Genomic DNA, 19,163 nt, shown 5'->3' with positions numbered 1-19,163 from the left:
AGGCTGAGGCGGGTGGACCATGAGGTCAAGAGATTGAGACCAGCCTGGCCAACATGGTGAAACCTCATTCCACTAAAAATACAAAAATTAGCTGGGCGTGGTGGCACATGCCTGTAATCCCAGCTACTTGGGAGGCTGAGGCAGGAGAATTGCTTGAACCCGGGAGGCGGAGGTTGCAGTGAGCCAAGATTGTGCCACTGCACTTCAGCCTGCGCGACAGAGCGAGACTCTGTCTCAAAAGAAAAAAAAAGTTCAATTTGTGGTCAATATGAAACATTTTCCCTTTAACTAGGTTATCAGTTCCTTTTGGAGAGGAACTCTGTATTTTTCTTCTTTTTGTATCTCAATGTAATTTTGTGTGTAAACTTATAAATAATCCACTTCTGCTCTGTCTCACTAAGGAATGATCCAGGAAATGCAAACTAAAACAAAAGGGATATACCACTCCCTGTCATTATACAGTGAAAAAAAAATGGCAGGTGGGAGAGTGAATTGGTACAGTCTTCTTGGAGGGCAATTTTACAGTCTTGACCAAAATTTCAAAATGTGTATGTACTTGATCCAGCAAATGCACTTCTAGGAATCCAAGTTAAGAAATAGTTGCACATCGGCCTGAAGATATTTGTATAAGAATATTCATGGTAGCACTGTTTGTAACTGCAAAGAATTTGAAGCCACCAAAATGTGCATCAATTGGGCAGATTAATTGGGTGACAGATCTATACAGGATGGTACATCCCCATGCAATGAAGTATCTGCAGCCTTAAAATGAATGAGTTTTGTCAGTCGGTATGTATGTACCAGCTATGTGTGTACCGGTATGCATGTACATACGTATGTATGAGGAAGGATGACCACGATAGTTGAGCAAAAAGACCAGGTTTATCAATGTTAACTTGAAAATGAGATGGCATAATCTCATATAAGTTTTTTTATTTAAAGATATTTCTATATCTGTATGTTTAAACCGCAAACTGTCAATGTGGTTATCCTTGGAAATAGGAGTGGTGGTGAGAGGGGTCTTTCACTTTGGACTTTTTACACTCTTGCATTGTTTCAGTGAACATGTACTGTTGTATTTAAACAATACAAAAGTAAAAATAAAGGAATGTATGTTTTTAAAACTAATAATAGGCCAGACGCAGTGGCACACGCCTGTAATCCCAGCACTTTGGGAGGCCGAGGTGGGTGGATCACCTGACGTCAGGAGTTCGAGACCAGCCTGGCCAACATGGCGAAACCCCGTCTCTACTAAGAATACAAAAATTAGCTGGGTGTGGTGGTGGGCACCTGTAATCTCAGCTACTCAGGAGGCTGAGGCGGAGAATTGCTCGAACCCGGGAGGTGGAGATTGCAGTGAGCAGACTGTGCCATTGCATTCCAGCCTGGGCAACAGAGCGAGACTCAGTCTCAAAACAAACAAACAAACAAACAAACAAACCCTAATAATAGAAAACCAAGAGCTATGAAGAGTACCTAAAACTTGTATATTTGAACATTTTCCTCTGCAAAGTCCACTTTAAGGCAATGTGGGGATATGGAAAACACTTTTTCTTCCTTCATGTCTTTCAAATTTTCAGAAATGTTGTTAGAGGGAGGGGCAACATGAAGATGTGAAGGCACTAAGGCAGGAGATAGAGTTTATTACGTTAAATTCAAAACACTATCATCTTATTCAGATAATAATTACAATGACTCTCTTTAAGAAATGTAACATTTCTAAGTTTCTGCCAGTTTATGAGAAGCAGGCGGAAATTCCTGAAGAAACATCAACAATTTCATAAATCAAGAAAAATCATGTTTTCCAGATTTCTGCTATAGTAGCTAGCAGAGATAATAGCCATTTCATGAAAGGAACTGAGAACTAAACAAACCAGCTCTCCTGAATCTGCATCAGTCAGGTTCTCTGTTAGCCTGGAGAATCAAGTCCAGGACAGAAGCTATGGCAGTCCTGGGGTCTCTAAGCAACAGGACTGACTGCAGTCCCACAGATCACCCCTGCCTGGATGAGAGATGCTCCCACCATGCTGTCCACCTAGTGCATCCTTGCAGGGAAGGAGTCTGATTGGCTGGCTCAGGTCATATGCCTGTCTCTCAGGGAGGGTATCCTGGAGAGAGTGCTTCTGTTATCACACGATATAGGGAGGAAAGTTAGGGTGCTGTTACTAAACCAAAGGGGAATGGGTGCTGGAGACCAAAGGGGACCAGCCAATGATTGCCACAGCATCTTTGCCTCTTTTTCTAATTATTTTCAATTCCTGAGTGTGATAATCAGCCACTGTTGATATTCGATTCCTGTCTTGTGAAACTGATGGCCTGTGCAAACTGAGACCAGTTCCTCTATTCTATCATGTTTCTTGACTTCCTGATTTGATGAGAGGATCTGCAAATTTAGAACCATTTTTTCCACAGGCTGTAGAAAGGGGGGCTCCACCGGCCTGCAAAGGTATGGCTGCTGCTGCAGTGGGCAGGCCAGCAGATGCCTGTGTTTTTGGGCCAGTGGTCGGCCCTGGTGCTTAGCACATGGCAGGTGCTCATGTAAACTTTGTTGAAGGAATGAATGAACATCTTTAGAGGTTCTGTGCTCTAGCCACCCTCCTTAGAATGCGTGAATCCCAGAGCTGAAAGGCACTCTAGGGATATCAGCCCTGTCCCTCCTTCTACAGGTGAGAAAACCACAGCCCCAAGAGATTAGGTGACTCAGCAAAGCCTCAGAGAAAATTAAAGGCAGTCAGGAACTCAGCTGTTCCTCCTCACAGATCCATGAAGTTCCCTTTGCTGCCGACGGCAGCCCCATGCTAGCAGCAAGCTCTGAGTGTGACAGATCTGTAATTTGGACAAAGGCAGTGGTGGTGCTGTCACCACAGACATTTCTGCCTTTGAATCTTGGCTCCCAGGGATTTGCAGCCGCATGAATCAGTCAAGCCAGTGTCCTTACAATTTCTTAAAGTCTTTTACTGTGTTTTTGTTAATGGACATATACAGTACTTGCAGTCTCAAAAGTAATTTGCCTCACCTGCACCGTTTTGGTGAGTTGGATTCAGCTGGAACAACTGTTTATATCAACCTTGTCCCACTGCATGGTTTTAAAGAAACCATCTGGGGATGTGTTTGGAAAGGCCATGTAGCAATGAAGTTCTAAAAATTTTCATAAACTAGTGCTTCCCAAGTTTTCCTAAAGAATAATAAAAACTTTTAGAAACAAAGCCTAGGGCTCCAGTGTGTGGGTAAAATTCCTTTGCTGCCAAATTTTTCTAGATCTTTAGATGCTTCCCCACACTCCACACCCGCTTGTGCTGCATGTACAGAGGGTGCCTCACTCAGGCCTTCTGATGGGCCTGTCTCCACCCACCTACACTAGTCAGCGCCTCTCACCGCAGGGCCAGGAAGGGAGGAACAGATTCTGTTCTCCTTCCTTCCCACCATCCCAAGCCAGGGCAGGTTCCGGAAAGGAAGGGCTTGATTAATGAGCAGGTGTTGCCACTGAAGGCCTGTATATCCCACACTCCAGAGCTGGTCTTACCTTGGCGGCACTCGTCAGCCCTGCGCCTCCGGGAGAGCTAGGCCAGAAGCAGGGGCTCTACCTTCAAGAGATTTTTCTCAAGCTCCTTCCTTGGCAGGGAGGGTACAGAGGAACAGACGCTTCCTGGACATCTGCCTGCTCCCAAAGTATTGGCAGCAAAGTGGGGGATGACTAGGTCAAGTCCTGGGGTCCTCAGTGGGAAGGAAGTTTCAGGGCCTTGTCAGATAGGTCCCTTGCATGCCCTCCCCTGTGGCCCTGCTCCAGCTGTCCTCCTGTGGGCAAGGTGTGTGGAGGATGCTGGCAGGGGCCAAGGGTGGGCACAGTCAGTGACAAGAGACTCAAGTGGCCAACGTCAGCAGACAGCCGGAGAGGGTAGCAGGTGGGCAACATTTGGCAAGGTCTTCCCTTTTTACCCAATCTCTAGTCACAATGCTACACAAGATATGAGGGAGGGGAGCACAGGCCAGAATCTCATCAATATTAGAAGTGGCCCTGGCAAGCGACTCTGCTGTTGACTTCCAGAACAGTTTTCCCTCAGGAAAACGGGTTTTCAGGCTGGGCGTGGTGGCTCGTGCCTTAATCCTGGCACTTTGGGAGGCCAAGGCGGGAGGATTGCTGGAGTCCAGGAATTCGAGACCAGCCTAGGCAACAGTGAGACCTCGTCTCACAAAAAATAAAATTAGCCAGGCATGGTGGTGCACATCTGTAGTCCCATCTACTTGGGAGGTTGAGGCTGCAGTGAGCTGAGATTTGGCCATTGCACTCCAGCCTGGGCAACAGACCTCGTCTCACAAAAAATAAAATTAGCCAGGCATGGTGGTGCACATCTGTAGTCCCATCTACGTGGGAGGTTGAGGCTGCAGTGAGCTGAGATTTGGCCATTGCACTCCAGCCTGGGCAACACAGTGAGACCCTCTCTCTCGAAAAAAAAGAAGAGGGGTTTTCAAGTAAGTGAACAGGGAATGAAATTCTTTTTGCCAGGAACAGGTGTATGGAATTGTGAAAATACTTAAAAGATGGGGGTGGCAGCAGCTGAAAACCCTTTTATGTGAAGTCTCCAACGAGTCAGGCATAGTACATCTAGGCTCTTTCCATCTGTGATTCCATGGAATTCTTAAAACACCATGAAGTAGTTATCATTACCCCAAGTTCTACAGATAAGGAGTCTGAGGCTCAATGCATTTACACATCTTGTCCCAAATCAGGAAGTGGCAACGCCCTGGCTTTCCTTGTGACACCAAATGGCTGAGGCAGGAACTCACTGGGAGCTTTGACTTGACTTGTTTCTGGGTGACTGAACAGATGGCTGAGAGGGAGCCACTCAATCAGGGTCTGGCCACAGCCTGCCGTGACAGGGGCTGTGGGTACTGCTGCAAGGGATGTGCCTCCCTTTGTGCTGGCTGGACGGAGGCCTACACCTCAGTCGGGAGTCAGCTCTCAATCGCCAAAGGCTCAGTGGCTGGCAGCAGGCCCGGCAGAGGCCTAGCCTGTGGATGAGCCTTTCCCGGGAGCAGCCCCTATGGGAGGGGCTGGCCCATCTCTGTCAGAGCAGGAAAAGTGGGTGACTACCAAAGACTGGCTGGGACTACACTAGGGATAGGACCAAAATTAAAATCCTTTTGTCAGTGAAAGCGTCACCCCTGCAGACCCTGACCAGATGACCTTAGGAGTGGGGCTGGTCCAAGGGGCATCTGGGGCTTGACTCTGAGGAGTTAATGGCAAAGTGAGGAGCTGCCCAGAAGCCAGTCTGAGCAGAGCTGCAAACTGTAGAGTCCCAAGTCCTGGACTCACAAGTGTGTCCTCTTTCTGGCATATGATGGGATGGGCCTCTGCCATCTCAGCCCCAGCCCACCAGGAGCAGAGTCTTCTTGATACACCTGTTTCTAGGACTGCTGCTAAGCCTGGTGGCATAGGTAGTGCAAAGGAGCCAGAAGACACCCCAGGGGTCCCCAGCCCCTGGGCTGTGGACTGGTACTGGTCTGTGGCCTGATAGGAACCGGGCTGCATAGTAGGAGGTGAGCAGCAGGCAAGCATGCATTACTGCCTGAGCTCTGCCTCCTGCAAGGGGCATTAGATTTTCATAGGCATGCGAACACTATTGTGAACTACGCATGCAAGGGATCTAGGTTGAGAATTTAGTTTCACCCCGAAACCATCCCCCACCATCCCCCATCTGTGGAAAAACTGTCTTTCATGCGACTGGTCCCTGGTGCCAGAAAGATTGGGGACCACTCAAAGAGGGTTCCAAAGGTCTCTACAAAGCCTGCAGTGAAACACTATTTTTTTGAGCACATACTTTAGATTATGTGCTGTGCTGAACCCTTGCCATACACTAACTCATTTAATCCTCACAATACAATTAACCCATTCAACAAATATCTACCGAGTACCTGCTAGGTACAATGCTTTCTGCTAGGTGCTGGGGAGAACTCAGTGAGCAAGATGAGACCCTGTCCCCATGAAATTTATAATCTGGGTAGGAACCATTATAATCCCATTTCAGAGATGATGCAACTAAGGCATTGTGGTGTTAACTTACTTACTCAGGTCATTAAATGACAAGACATGGGTTTGAACCCAGGCGATCCGTTTCAGAGTTTAGGATGCTATTGTGTTACCAAATCCTTCCTTTCTCCTTCCCAACAACATTACCTATATAGCAGACACTTGCTTGCTTTTTAAGAAAAAATAAAATAAAAAATGAGGTCTTTCTCTGTCACACAGGCTGGAGTGTATTGGTGCCATCATAGCTCACAGTAACCTCAAACTCCTGGGATCAACTGATCCTCCCACCTCAGCCTCGTGAGTAGCTGGGATTACAGGTGTGAACCACCATGCCCAGCTTGGTTGCCTTTCTAAATCCATCTCACCACCCTTGCTGGAAGAAACCCAATTTATTAGAATGTACACTCCTCTCCTAACTGTGTACCCAGCGAAAGGCCCCTCCCCAGCCCCAGCCCTTAGGGGTGAATCTTAAGTTTAAACCAATCTTGGTAACGCCCTTCCCTTTGCCAGGGATTGGTGTAGGCTCACATATGTGACAATCTGGCCAAGAGACACGCGAGGAAGCCAGCTGGGAGGGTTTTGGGAGAAAGTTTTCTTATGCTGCTCCAAGTTGTTCAGGAACTTGGAACTGTGGTAGCCAACTGAGACCCACAAGGGAACCAGCTCGAGGACAAAAGCCAGCATGCTGAGGACGGAGGAATAGGCAGGTGGAAACAACTTGGGCCCCGCATGAACTTCTGAGCTCCAGGTTTGCTGTTATGTGAAATAACAGATATTCTTACCACTTAAGATATTTTGGTTGTTCTTCTGGGTTTTTCTGCAGCTGAAAACTACCTAATATAAGCCAGCTCCAGCCCCTATCATGCCACACTAGCCCTTAGTTCAGTCTAACATATACACCGCTCCACTCCATCAGCTACTGCTCATGGCTTCCCTCGAGATGTCCGTTTTTGACTGACTTATTTCTCTCATATATTATCTTGGCTTTTAAGTGTTGTGGCCTGGGCCGGGCGCGGTGGCTCACGCCTGTAATCCCAGCACTTTGGGAGGCCGAGGCGGGCGGATCACGAGGTCAGGAGATCGAGACCATCCCGGCTAAAACGGTGAAACCCCGTCTCTACTAAAAATACAAAAAATTAGCCGGGCGTGGTGGCGGGCGCCTGTAGTCCCAGCTACTTGGGAGGCTGAGGCAGGAGAATGGCGTGAACCCGGGAGGCAGAGCTTGCAGTGAGCCGAGATCGCGCCACTGCACTCCAGCCTGGGCGACAGAGCGAGACTCCGTCTCAAAAAAAAAAAAAAAAAAAAAAAAAAAGTGTTGTGGCCTGTTTCTCCAAATTATAAGCTCTCTGAAGGGAGTGAGCATGCCTTACATTTTGTTATATTCTTCGTGGTATCCATCATCACTGTGGAGGCCACAGTAAAACTTAATATATAGGGGCTTATCTTTTTTGCCACATTCCAAGATATTATTTGCTGCCCTGGAGGGCAAAAATGAACACATTTCTGTGTTCAACAAAGAGTAAAACAGGAGTCAACAGGTTGCAGCTGCAGGCCTGAGTGAATAAGAATGTCAGGCATCTCTCTCAACAGTGGCTTAGATTCACCAGTGGTTTGCACCAGCTCCTACTGCCTCCCATGTGCCTTGCCCTGGGCTGGATGCTGGGGAAGCAGACACTGCTTGTTCTAAGCCAAGGAACTTCCATGCTCACCTCCTGTCTTGTGTTCATTCTCATAAGAACCCTTTGGGGTAGGAGCCATCAGTAATAGTTTAGATGGGCAAGCAAAGGCAGTGACCTAATCTAAGCAGCTGTTGAGCCCAGGTTTTCCAGTTCCTGAATTGAGTTCACAGGGCTTCCTATTATTTTCCCCTTTCCTTTTTCCTATTAAGCAAGTGATCGCCTTTTATTCATTGGCTCAGGTGAGGGATGTAGGAGAGCATAAAATAGAAATACAGTCGTGCATTGCTTAATGACAGATACTAGCTTAATGAGAGAGATACATTCTGAGAAATGCGTTGTTAGGTAGTTTCATTGTGCAAACATCAGAGTGTAGTTACACAAACTTAGATGGTCTAAACCTACTACACACCTAGACTATATGGTGTAGCCTCTTGCCCCTAGGCTACAACCTGCACAGCACGTTACTGTACTGAATACAGTAGGCAGTTGTGACACAAAGGTATGCATTTGTGTATCTAAACATATTTAGGCTGCAGGCAGTTGCTCATACCTGTAATACCAGCACTTTGGGAGGCCGAGGTGGGAGGATCCCTTGAGTTCAGGAGTTTGAGACCCGCCTAGGCAACATTGTGAAACACCGTCTCTAATTTTAAAAAAAGAAAGTTAGCCAGGTGTGGTAGCACACACCTGTAGTCCCAGCTACTTGGGAGGCTTAGGTGGGAGAATCGCTTAAGCCTAGAAGATGGAGCTGAAGTGAGCTCTGATCATGTCACCACACTCCAGCCTGCAACAGAGTGAGACCTTGTCTCAAAAAATAATAAAAGTAAAAAGTAAACATATTTAAACATAGAAAAGGTACAGTAAATTTTTGGTATTATATCTTATGAGACCACAGTCAGATATGAGGTTCACTGTTGACCGCAACATTGTTGTGTGGCTAGATGCTCTAGCAACAAGAGTCTCAGGAAGGGACTAGATGCCTTAAATGGGATCAGTAGGCCATGCCCCTAAGCTAGAAAGCCATTTCTCCTGGTTGGAGAGGGGAAGACTGAGATGCACCTGTAAGTGGCTGGTGGGCAGCAAGACCCTGCCTGGTACCTTGGAGCAAACAGGACCCAAGTCAGCCTTTTAAAGATCTCTGCACTCTGAACATGGCACAGAAGCAGCCCAGCTGCAAGCCAGAGGTCCTCTGGGCTGAAACGGCCTTGTGGAATGAGAATGGGGACTGGATGGACTTTCCTGATACCTTGGTATTTGGCTGATCTTAAGGACTATCTCTTTAAGTACAAATATTTGGTTCCCTGAAACTTATCCTGATAGAAACAACTAATTTTCCCTTATCTCTAAATTACAGAATACTACATGTTTCACTTACCTTTATTATATCACAGGTTTAGCTACACTGTGCACATTAAGTCAAAAGATAGTAAGGCTCCGATCAACCAGCTGAGATCTCAAATTACTTGAGAGGTTTCCAGAGAACCTTAGGCCATTAAACATTAGAACTAAATCAATACAAACATCTACAAGTATGCGTACTTAAAGCTTCAGTTCTCAATACTCCGTAAAGTAGGCACTTCAGTTATCCTCATTTTATAGATGACACTGGCTCAGAGAGGTTAACTTGTCCACTGCTACACAGCTAGGATTCAAGTCCAGATATTCTGGCTAAAGGCAGAATTTCTAGCCACCATGCTAGTGTTTGCTTTGGTACCATAGGCAGAGAGCCATCTCAATGCTGAGAAGGTTCTAAGCAGACCTTGGGCCTGTAAAGTCAACCCCTTATAATGTGAGCACTATACTGAAGTCCTAACCAGGGCATAAAAAGAGAACTTGCTGGCCGGGTGCAGTGGCTCACGCCTGTAATCCCAGCACTTTGGGAGGCTGACGGGGGTGGATCACTTGAGGTCGGGAGTTCAAGACCAGCCTGACCAATGTGGAGAACCCTGCCTCTACTAAAAATACAAAATTAGTTGGGCATGTTGGTGGATGCCTATAATCCCAGCTGCTCAGGAGGCTGAGGCAGGAGAATCACTTGAACCTAGAAGGCGGAGGTTGCAGTGAACCGAGATTGCGCCATTGCACTCCAGCCTGGGCAACAAGAGTGAAACTCCATCTCAAAAAAAAAAAAAAAAAAAACTTGCCCCCAACAAACTCATATGAGTTGGAGAGGTAAGGCCATACATAGAGACAAGTCCAACGCAATACATAATAAAATGGAGCAGAGGAATGGTACAGGGAGGAGCTATGCAGCTGCCCCCAATGGCCTATACCATGGAACCTCAACCACTGGTCCATATGCTAGGATATTGAACATGCCGGTCTGAGTGAGTCCTAAGCAATGGCTTTTATATCTGTTCAGTGATGGGGTACAGTTGGTCTGAAAAGGTCTCTCCTGGCCACGCTAGTTAGCTTTTGTCTACTCTGCCTCACTCATATTTCTGCCAGCCTGACCCCCTGGACTCGCTGGGACTCTGGACTCACTGCACACTCATTCACCCTTAGCTATCATTTCCTTGAATGAGACAATATCACTGAAGCTTCATGCTTGTCATCTTTTTAAATTGTGTTATCACTTTGTTCTAGGGTTATCAGATTTTTCAATTTTGTTTAAAATGCAAAAGGAAACAAATAAGGGCCAGGCACGGTGGCTCATGCCTGTAGTCCCAGCATTTCGGGAGGCCAAGGTGGGCAAACTGCTTGAGCTCAGGAGTTCGAGACCAGCCTGGGCAACATGGTGAAACCCCATCTCTTGGTGGGGGGATGCGGGGGGGTGGGAAGACAGCTAGGCTTTAAAATGCCAAAAAAAAAAAAAAAGTTTTAAAAAAGAAAACAAATAAAATGCATATCTTTTTGTCCACAGATTTTAACTGGTATTTTTTTATGAAATGCCATCCTCACTTTAATTTCAAGACTGATGCAATTTAATAGGAAATACAGTACACATTTCAGTGGAATATACTTGTGAAAATAACATTTAATTGAAAAAGGTGTAAACAGGACAGTGAAGTGTATTGCAATGTAAGGTCAGCAGTCAATTATTACATGTTAAAGAAACATGTATAAAGTGGCATACTAAAAATGAAAGTGAGATTACACCTTCAGCTACATCTAGAGACTCACTCAGATATCTTTCCCTCTCACCAAGGTGCCAATGTAACTACTTTCTGAACTTGTGGCTGCTCTTTTCCAATATTTTAATTCACTACTTATTTTTAAGACCCATGAGCTCATTTCTGGGAGTATATAAAATTAATAGACACATAGTCCCCTGCTCACAAGGGGCTTAAAAACTAGCAGTTTGACAGGACAACCACAATTTCCTATGGAAAGGCTAACATGAATTTACAGGATGATACTATTCATAAGTCAAAGGTTTGCCGCACAAGCCTCTAAGGAGCAAGATTATTGGAAGTAATATGTTTTGATGGAAAAAAAGCACATGTCTATAGAAGTTTAGCCTAAGTTCATCACTGTTTGTTCTTTTCTTAAACATACATCACTTTGTGAAAACTCAAGTTTTTATATGAAAGCCATAAAAAATGTATTTTGTGTTGAAAAGAGTTGGACTTTACATAATTTGATACATAATTTGTTCACAGACATAGGAAGTTGTAATAGTAGGAAGATGGTAATGTTACAAAGCATATCTCTAATAGAACAGTATAAAACATTTAAACATGAATTTTCATATACTAAAAATAAAAGCTCAGATATATTATCTTCAATGATTTAAAATTATTTTTACTTTCATTTGAATTCCATATCAACCTTGCTTTCATGTTTAGATAATAAAGCTTTCCAAAGTCCCAGTTTTTTAAAAAACGAACACTTAACAAGGCTTAGTTTTTACAACATAGAGGAGGGAAAAGATGGCAAAAACATGGCCTATAATTTCTTAGCCTAGATTAACCCAGTACATTTTTTAAAAAAGCAATTCATGTACATGGTCAGAAAATTCAAAATGCTTATAAATGTACAAATTGAAAAGTAAGAGCCTTCATTCTTTCCTCTCTCCACTCCCATACACTCTCCCCACCAAAGGCAATCACTTTTTCCCCACGGCTTTTTTCCCTACATAGGCTGAAAATGTCTGCCTATCTCTCAGGTTCTGCCATCTACAAGGGCTCATGGCAAATTGGAAGGGCGTTCCCTGCCAATGGTGAGGCACCCTGAAGCCTACAGAGATGGCTTGCCAGCGCCTCTGCACTAGTGCAAGCACTACCTTCCTGGGGTCTGTCACGTGGATTATCCCTCTGGGGACTGTCGAGTCTTGGAAGCAGACAGGACAAGTGTTAGAAACAGTGCTTTCTCTGAGCTCCTGTGTCAATGCTTTTGTGAGATAAATTCTTAGGAAAATTTCTCAGCTAAAGGGAATATTTAAGTGACTTTTGCCAAATCAACTTCTAATAATGTACCAATCTGCATCCCAATTAATAATATATGAATGCCTGTTTCTTATCATCCTTACAAATACAATTTTCAACCATTTAGAGTGTATGACAATTTCTCATTTATTTTGCATTTTATTTAATTAGGAATGAACATCTCATGTATATGAGCCATTAAAATGTTTTAGTGGATTGTTCATGTCCTTTGTTTCTTTTATCAATTTTTTATTTTTAAGAGTTTTTTGTACTTTAGGTAAAACAGTTTTATTCATTCAGGCACTGTTCTAGACAGTGCAGTCAAACAGGAAACAAAGAAAATCCCCACCCTTAAGGAGTTTAAATTCTAGTAGAGAGATAAAGAAAAAAAAGTGTATGTATACACGCACACACACAACACAGACACACGCACGAGGCGGTGACAGGTGCAATAGAAAAATAAAGGAGGGTAAAAAGGGATAGAAAGTGATAGCAGTGTGTGTGGGATGGGATGCTATTCTGTGCAGTGTACAGAATGGTCAGGGACAGCCTCTCTGATAGAGTGGAGATTGGAGAAGACACCTACCTGAAAGGAAGAAAGGGAGTAATTTACATGAAGATCAAGGAAAACAAGGCCAAAAAACAACTGGCCTTAAAAGCCAAAAGGCTTTAAAGAGAGGGAGAGGGAAATTAGTTGGCACATTTGAGAAGCAACAAGGAGGCCGCCTACAGCAGTGTGGGTGAGGAAGAGGGGAGTCCGGGAGGAGGTCAGAGAGAGTGGGGTCAGATAGGGTGGGGTCTTATAGGCCATGGTAAAGTCTTTGGAGGGTTCTGATTTGGCTGGAGGTGGGTAGGAACAACAGAGTCATGAGACCAGATGAAAGTGGATGCAAGCCTGGACAACACAGCAAGACTTTGTCTCTACTAAAGATTAAAAAAATTAGCCAGGTGTGGTGGCGTGCACCGAGACTCCCAGCTACTTGGGAGGCCTGAAACCAGGAGTTGATCTTCTTACCACTGCATTGCAGCCTGGGCGACAAAGCAAGATCCCTGAGTCGAGGCAAAAAAAGATGTAAATATTTGTTGCCAGTAAATGTTCCTAGTTTGAATTTATGGTTTTAATTTTTTTGGAGGGGAGGATAGGTATCCATCCTATATTTAATTTTTTATCTACTATAGTAATAGCAATCTTCTGGTTTATATCTTGCTTTTATGTCACACAGGCAAAAGATTGCAAAACCATCTATTACATTGTATTTTGATTAAAATTTCTGATTTCTCCAAAATTATTTTGGGGATAAGCAGTGAAACAGGCAAGATCAATGCATAAGACTGCACAATGTATTTGCTGCACAAGGGTACCAGGCTGAGGGGGTAAGTGGGGACTGAAATTCAGTCAAGGTATGGTGCATTGGGAGGTACTGAATCCACTAAAGGAAGGGGCCTTTTCTAATTTGCACGAAGGTGCTATATGAACTAGTAGTGTCAATGGAGATAGAGTTCAAGCTTTAATCCATTGTGGGTTGTTTTTTCTTTTTTTTTTTTTTTTTGAGACAGAGTTTCACTCTTGTTGCCCAGGTTGGAGTACAATGGCATGATCTTGGCTAACTGCAACCTCCACCTCCTGGGTTCAAGCGATTCTCCTGCCTCAGCCTCCCAAGTAGCTGGGATTATAGGCATGCACCACCACGCATGGCTAATTTTGTATTTTTAGAAGAGACGGGGTTTCACTATGTTGGCCAGGCTGGTCACGAACTCCTGACTCAGGTAATCCACCCGCCTCAGCCTCCCAAAGTGTTGGGATTACAGGTGCGAGCCACCACACCCAGCCTAATCCATTGTTTTAACACCAGTTATTAAATAATCTTTTCACATACTGACTTAAAATGCCATCTTTGTCCTATTAAATATTCATAGCTTCTTATGTCTCTGGTAGAACCAAGGACCCCGTTAAGGTAGAAGTTTGCCATATTACAAAAAAAATTTTTTTAAATGCATTCTCCTCACTAGGGAAACCTTTATTTTAGGAGCCAAATTAGAAGCTAATTTTGGCACATTAGAAAGAACTGGTGCAGTTGGAAGAATTCCTCATTTTCAGATGCAATTTCTTTGCTGTCTTTGCTTAAAGGCTTCAGCTTAAAGACACCAATGAGTTATTTCAAAGAACCTTGTGCTCACCTTCTGAAAGGCTTTCTTATCTACCTTGAGATAATAGCTCAACCAACAGTCTGAAGTCTTACTGCTCCAGGAAAATCTTTATTTCCAGGTTTAGGTTTGGCATCAGTTAGAGCACTCTGACTTGGTGGAAGGTTTCTTATACTACTGCCATAGGAGGACGAAGGCTCTAACAGTGGAGTAGTATCGGTGGATGTACACTTTGTGAATGGTGAGATGCTATATGTGATGTGGTCTCTTTTCAAACAAAAGTAAAACTCCTGCCTTTTCAGCTGTCCCCCACTACCCAACCAGGTCCATCACTATGCTATTACTGCCTTAGTGAGACAAGAAATAAGAACCATTTGAAACTTCTGCCAAAAAGGAAAGGCTTCCTTCTCCCAAGACAAATAAGCATAAAATATAAGGGAAATGTAAAGGATCTCACTTTGTGGTTTTATGCTTAGGCAAACTGAAAACCTAAGACAATTGTAAGTCCTAAATGGTCAGGTAAACTTTTCTCCTCTCTACAAAGGGCTGGGGTTGGAAGAGATTGGAATGGAAGGGAGGGGTGGCAAAACAGATGCAAGTTCTCTAACAAAGTAGTTTCCTCAGATTCCCCTCCCTTTCCTCACAGCCTACTCCAGAAACAAAGCTTTACTTCACAGCAGCCTGCTGTCAAGGTTGCTATTCACTACATAGTAGCTAAGCCTATATTAAGAATAAATCTAAATTTTCTGTCCAGTCTCAGAGTAATAACTTCATGTGTCAACACAGTGAACTGAGAAATGAGGAGAGCAGAGAGGAGAGGGGCTTGATTATGTAAAAGATACAGATATATCATTTTACATCATCAGTATAAGAAGCAAATGTGAGAATGTTTGGAGAGCTGTATTTTGGTTAAGAGCAAATATTTCTAAGTTGATTATCTTTCAGATCCAAGTCATGTTGCAGTGCTTCAACTATATATGCTTAAATATTTTTAGTTGAGACATACGTAGGATTTTTTGCTTTCCAGCAATCTTAGAGCAGTAACAGTGACAACTAGAGTAAAAAAAAAATAAGGCACTAGCAAGGAGGAACATTAGATAATTTTGGTATTTAGATATGAAATAGATAATTAGATAATTTTCTTTCCTTTTTTTGTTAGAGGCAGAGTCTTGTTCTGTCGCCCGGAGCAAGAGTGCAATGGCGCAATCATGCTCACTAAACCTTGAACTCCCAGGCTCAAGCAATCCTTTCGCCTCAGCTTCCCAAGCAGCTAGGACTATAGGCAAGTGCCACTGCACCCAACTAATTTATGTTTATTTTTATTTTTTGTAGAGATGGGGCTCACTTTGTTGCCCGGGCAGCTCTCAAACTCCTGGTCTCACATGAATCTCCCTCCTTGGCCTCCCAAAGTGCTGGGATTACAGGCATGAGTCACGGTGCCCGGCTGATAGTTGGATAATTTTCATTGCCTTTTTCTACCAATTTTCTTCCCTATCCCTGAGGCCAGGTGTAATTCACGCTTCCCTTTGGGAGTCCAATACTTTATCTAGGCCTATTCTCTTCCAAACTATTTCATACTTCAAAGTTATCGTTTTATTCTGACCTCCTGCTTCCTCAAATCTTTCAAGCAAAATTTCCTTTTATTCCTTCACTGACCCTTGCCCCCTCCAAGTCATTCTGCATGTAATAGAATGGTGATTATTCCATTTCTGAAAGGTTGCTAAACCCTGTTTAACACATTTGCTTTTACTTTCTAACAGTCACATTCCTAATCAAAAGACCCCAGCAGCAGTGCCACTAGATTATATAAATAGACCAAGGAGCTTGGTGGATAAAAGTGAAAGCATTAGGGCCGGGCATGGTGGCTCACGCCTGTAATCTCAGCACTTTGGGCAGCCGAGGTGGGCAGATCACTTGAGCCCAGGAGTTTGAGACCAGCCTGGGCACTGTGGCGAAATCCCATCTCTACAAAAATACAAAAAATTAGCCAGATGTGGTGGTGTGCGCCTGTGCTCCCAACTACTTGGGAGGCTGAGGTGGGAAAATTGCCAGAGCCTGGGAAATCAAGGCTATAGCCTGGGCAACAGAGGACACCCTGTCTCCAAAAAAGTGAAAACATTAAAACATAAGCCATGTATACAATCATGCCACTTGAAATTGAAGGATATTTGGTCTTATGCATATCATCTTACCTACTTTTCAGTCTAGACCACTTATTGGAAGGTCAGACCCACCTAAAGAAATAGTTGGCTACTCTGTCTCATCACAACCCTATTGTAACAATTCGAAGTCTAGGATATATAAATTTCCATGGCAAAATAGTTCATCTCTGCAAAGTTAAGCCATCTGTTATTTTAGTTTGCAAAAACTACATGACATGTTAGAAGCACAAATTTAACAGATACTATTTTATTATTTACAAAATACATGGTGATCATAAGAGAACATTTTACAAATTACAAATGGGAAAAGTACAGGGAAAAGTAGAGACAAATGGGTTAAATAACAAGGTAACCATTTGTAATGAGTCTGTTTAGAATAAAATAGTTCTTCACAAAAGTTAGACAAGGCCATGAGTAAGTATATCACTGTATAAAAAATATCAGTGACGTCAAAATATACCTGTACCAAAAAGTAGAACAGCAATGGTAGTGCATCTAAATGTGTCCTAAATTAAATTACAGCACATACAGTTTCAGTGTTCCACAATACAACCATTGCTCTGAGGCAGCAATCTGTGAGACTTGATTGCCTAGCTCACTGAAAGAGCAAAGCCCCAGGACTAGTTAACTTCCCTACCTTCCATAAGGCTTTGTTCAGGTGACTTTGGAATGTAGTGTCAAAAACCCCATTCATTTCTGCTGCAAGCTCCCCAAGAACAGACACTGTGGCCTCATCATTGGCATTCAGAATCCGCACAAAGAATTTATTCCACAATTCACCATCTTTTAGCCTAAAAATATATAAAACCATTTCCATCAAGATTAGGCATATGAAAATTATAATTCCTTTTAGTTTAACTCAGTGGTACATTTATGCACCAAAATGGTGTAAGGTAATACCTAGAACTCTAGGGTTAGAGATCATTCAAATAGTCCTTTGAAAGCCCAGGGAAGAACTACAAAAAAGGGCTACCATAGTGGGAAAAGCCAAGATACAATGCACATAAAGGGAAAGAAGATCTCTCATCTAAATCTATAAATTTCCTCTGTGTACTAAGACATAGCACTTTTCTTCTACAAATAGAAGAAAAAGGAATTTTATTTCCTCTAACTTTCCTAGAGTCTAGGTCATTAAAAAGGCTACAGCTCCTTTCTCCTACCCCAGTAGTGGATCTTCTTTACAATTCTCTGATAATCGTAAGCTTGACTAAACTAACTACTGCTTAATATGTTTGTACCTTTGCTTCTTATTATTTTCTTTTGATCAGAGAAACTTCCCTTATTAGATAAGGCAGGGCTGTTAGGAAACCCCAACTGACCCCACTTGTTTCTGCTTGTGTTAGCCAGACCTGCCTGGACCATAGCCAAGTGGACATGCCTATATCCATCCTATATGTCTTACATTGTATTTCAAGCCTATTTTTAAAAGTTCATGTAAGAGACAACACTGGCCAAGTTCTGAATTAAATGAAGAGAAAAGTACAATTCAATTATTCAAAGATGAAAATAGAGAAGGGGCATTAAATCTTCAACACTCATTTTTTTTTTTAACCAAAGAATATAACAATAGGTGACAGGCTGGGAACTTATTTGCTAAGATAAGCTAAAGTGGAACGTAGATACTTAGTTTTTTTTGAGACGGAGTCTCACTCTGTTGCCCTGGGTGGAGTGCAGTGGCGCGATCTCAGCTCACTGCAACCTCTGCCTCCCAGGTTCAAGTGATTCCCGTGCCTCAGCTTCCCAAGTAGCTAGGATTACAGGCATGTGCCACCACACCCAGCTAATTTTCTTGTATTTTGAGTAGAGACAAGGTTTCGCCATGTTGCCCAGGCTGCTCTCAAACTCCTGACCTCAGGTAATCTGCCTCGGCCTCCCAAAGTGCTGTGATTACAGGTGTGAGCCACCATGCCCGGCTGACTTAGTAAGTTTTATGAGCAGGCTTGAGGGAGTACTAAGGTTCTGAGACCAAGCAGTGCTTATTAAGAGACCACTTACTTCTTCTCCAGGAGAGTCAGTTATCTGGTTTGGTTCTATCCACTTATTAAATAAAAAATAGCCTAAAATTAGCATATAGTTTAGAAATGTAAGTCTTTTCAAAGGATGCTTATTAACTTTTGGTAATAATTGCTATTAAAAAGGAATTTAGGCCAGACACGGTGGCTCACACCTGTAATCCTAGCACTTTGGGAGGCCGAGGCGGGCGGATCACAAGGTCAGGAGTTCGAGATCAGCCTGGCCAACGTAGTGAAACCGCATCTCTACTAAAAATACAAAAATGAGCCAGGCATGGTGGCGCACGCCTGTAATCCCAGCTACTCAGGAGGCTGAAGCAGGAGAATCACTTGAACCTGGGAGGCAGAGGTTGCAGTGAGCCGAGATCATGCCACTGCACTCCAGCCTGGGCAACAGAGCGAGACTCCGTCTCAAAAAATAAATAAATAAAGAAAAAGGAATTTAAGGCTAACACCAATTAGTTAGAAAATTATTCTCATGAAATGCTTCTTTTCACATATCTAAACAGGGAAGCTTCCATACTATAGCTGTAGTCTGGAAGATACAGCTAGATTCAGAATGATGTCCTGAAGTCTGAATAGTTTTGAATCTTATTTTTAGTAAGCAGTTCCTTTTTCCTGCACTAGCTGCTCTGCTGATACTCTAATGAAAACTGGCTGAAACTACTGGAACCATGGCATTTGGATTAAAAAACTAAGGCTGCCAAAGCAGAGATAGCACCCAAGAGAAACAGAAAATTATTGGGACAGGCAGAGACCCTGACATTCAT

The 19,163-nt window shown here is 43.5% G+C and overlaps 2 protein-coding genes and 1 long non-coding RNA gene across 4 annotated transcripts in view, besides 2 other annotated features; 1 reads left to right on the top strand and 2 right to left on the bottom strand.

The window, feature by feature from the left end:
• LOC107984763 (uncharacterized) overlaps window positions 1-19,163 on the top strand; it is a 67,810-nt gene that overhangs the window by 1,966 nt on the left and 46,681 nt on the right. The gene's annotated exons all lie outside the window — the stretch shown is intronic.
• The window catches only part of BUB1B-PAK6 (BUB1B-PAK6 readthrough), a 60,060-nt gene that overhangs the window by 39,752 nt on the left and 1,145 nt on the right, over window positions 1-19,163 (bottom strand). The window lies entirely within an intron of this gene.
• Window positions 8,731-9,232: an enhancer, noted in NCBI's record as "H3K4me1 hESC enhancer chr15:40520705-40521206 (GRCh37/hg19 assembly coordinates)". NCBI's record gives its function as "activates a minimal SCP1, AML or CMV promoter by ChIP-STARR-seq in primed H9 embryonic stem cells {active_cell/tissue: H9 hESC(primed)}" and the evidence as "EXISTENCE:reporter gene assay evidence [ECO:0000049][PMID:30033119]".
• Window positions 10,702-10,902: a silencer, noted in NCBI's record as "peak2301 fragment used in MPRA reporter construct". NCBI's record gives its function as "represses an SCP1 promoter by STARR-seq MPRAs in K562 erythroleukemia cells {active_cell/tissue: K562}" and the evidence as "EXISTENCE:reporter gene assay evidence [ECO:0000049][PMID:32103011]".
• Window positions 16,613-19,163, bottom strand: part of BUB1B (BUB1 mitotic checkpoint serine/threonine kinase B) — a 60,055-nt gene continuing 57,504 nt past the window's right edge. Inside the window, exon 23 of the mRNA NM_001211.6 lies at window positions 16,613-17,172. Coding sequence (NP_001202.5) covers window positions 16,977-17,172 — 196 coding nt within the window. The 3' untranslated portion in view covers window positions 16,613-16,976. The remainder of the gene's footprint in view (window positions 17,173-19,163) is intronic.

This window comes from Homo sapiens, chromosome 15 (assembly GCF_000001405.40).
Source record: "Homo sapiens chromosome 15, GRCh38.p14 Primary Assembly".
NCBI lineage: Eukaryota > Metazoa > Chordata > Mammalia > Primates > Hominidae > Homo > Homo sapiens.
Note: the sequence above shows the minus strand (reverse complement) of the source record. Positions and strands in the feature narration are given on the sequence as shown.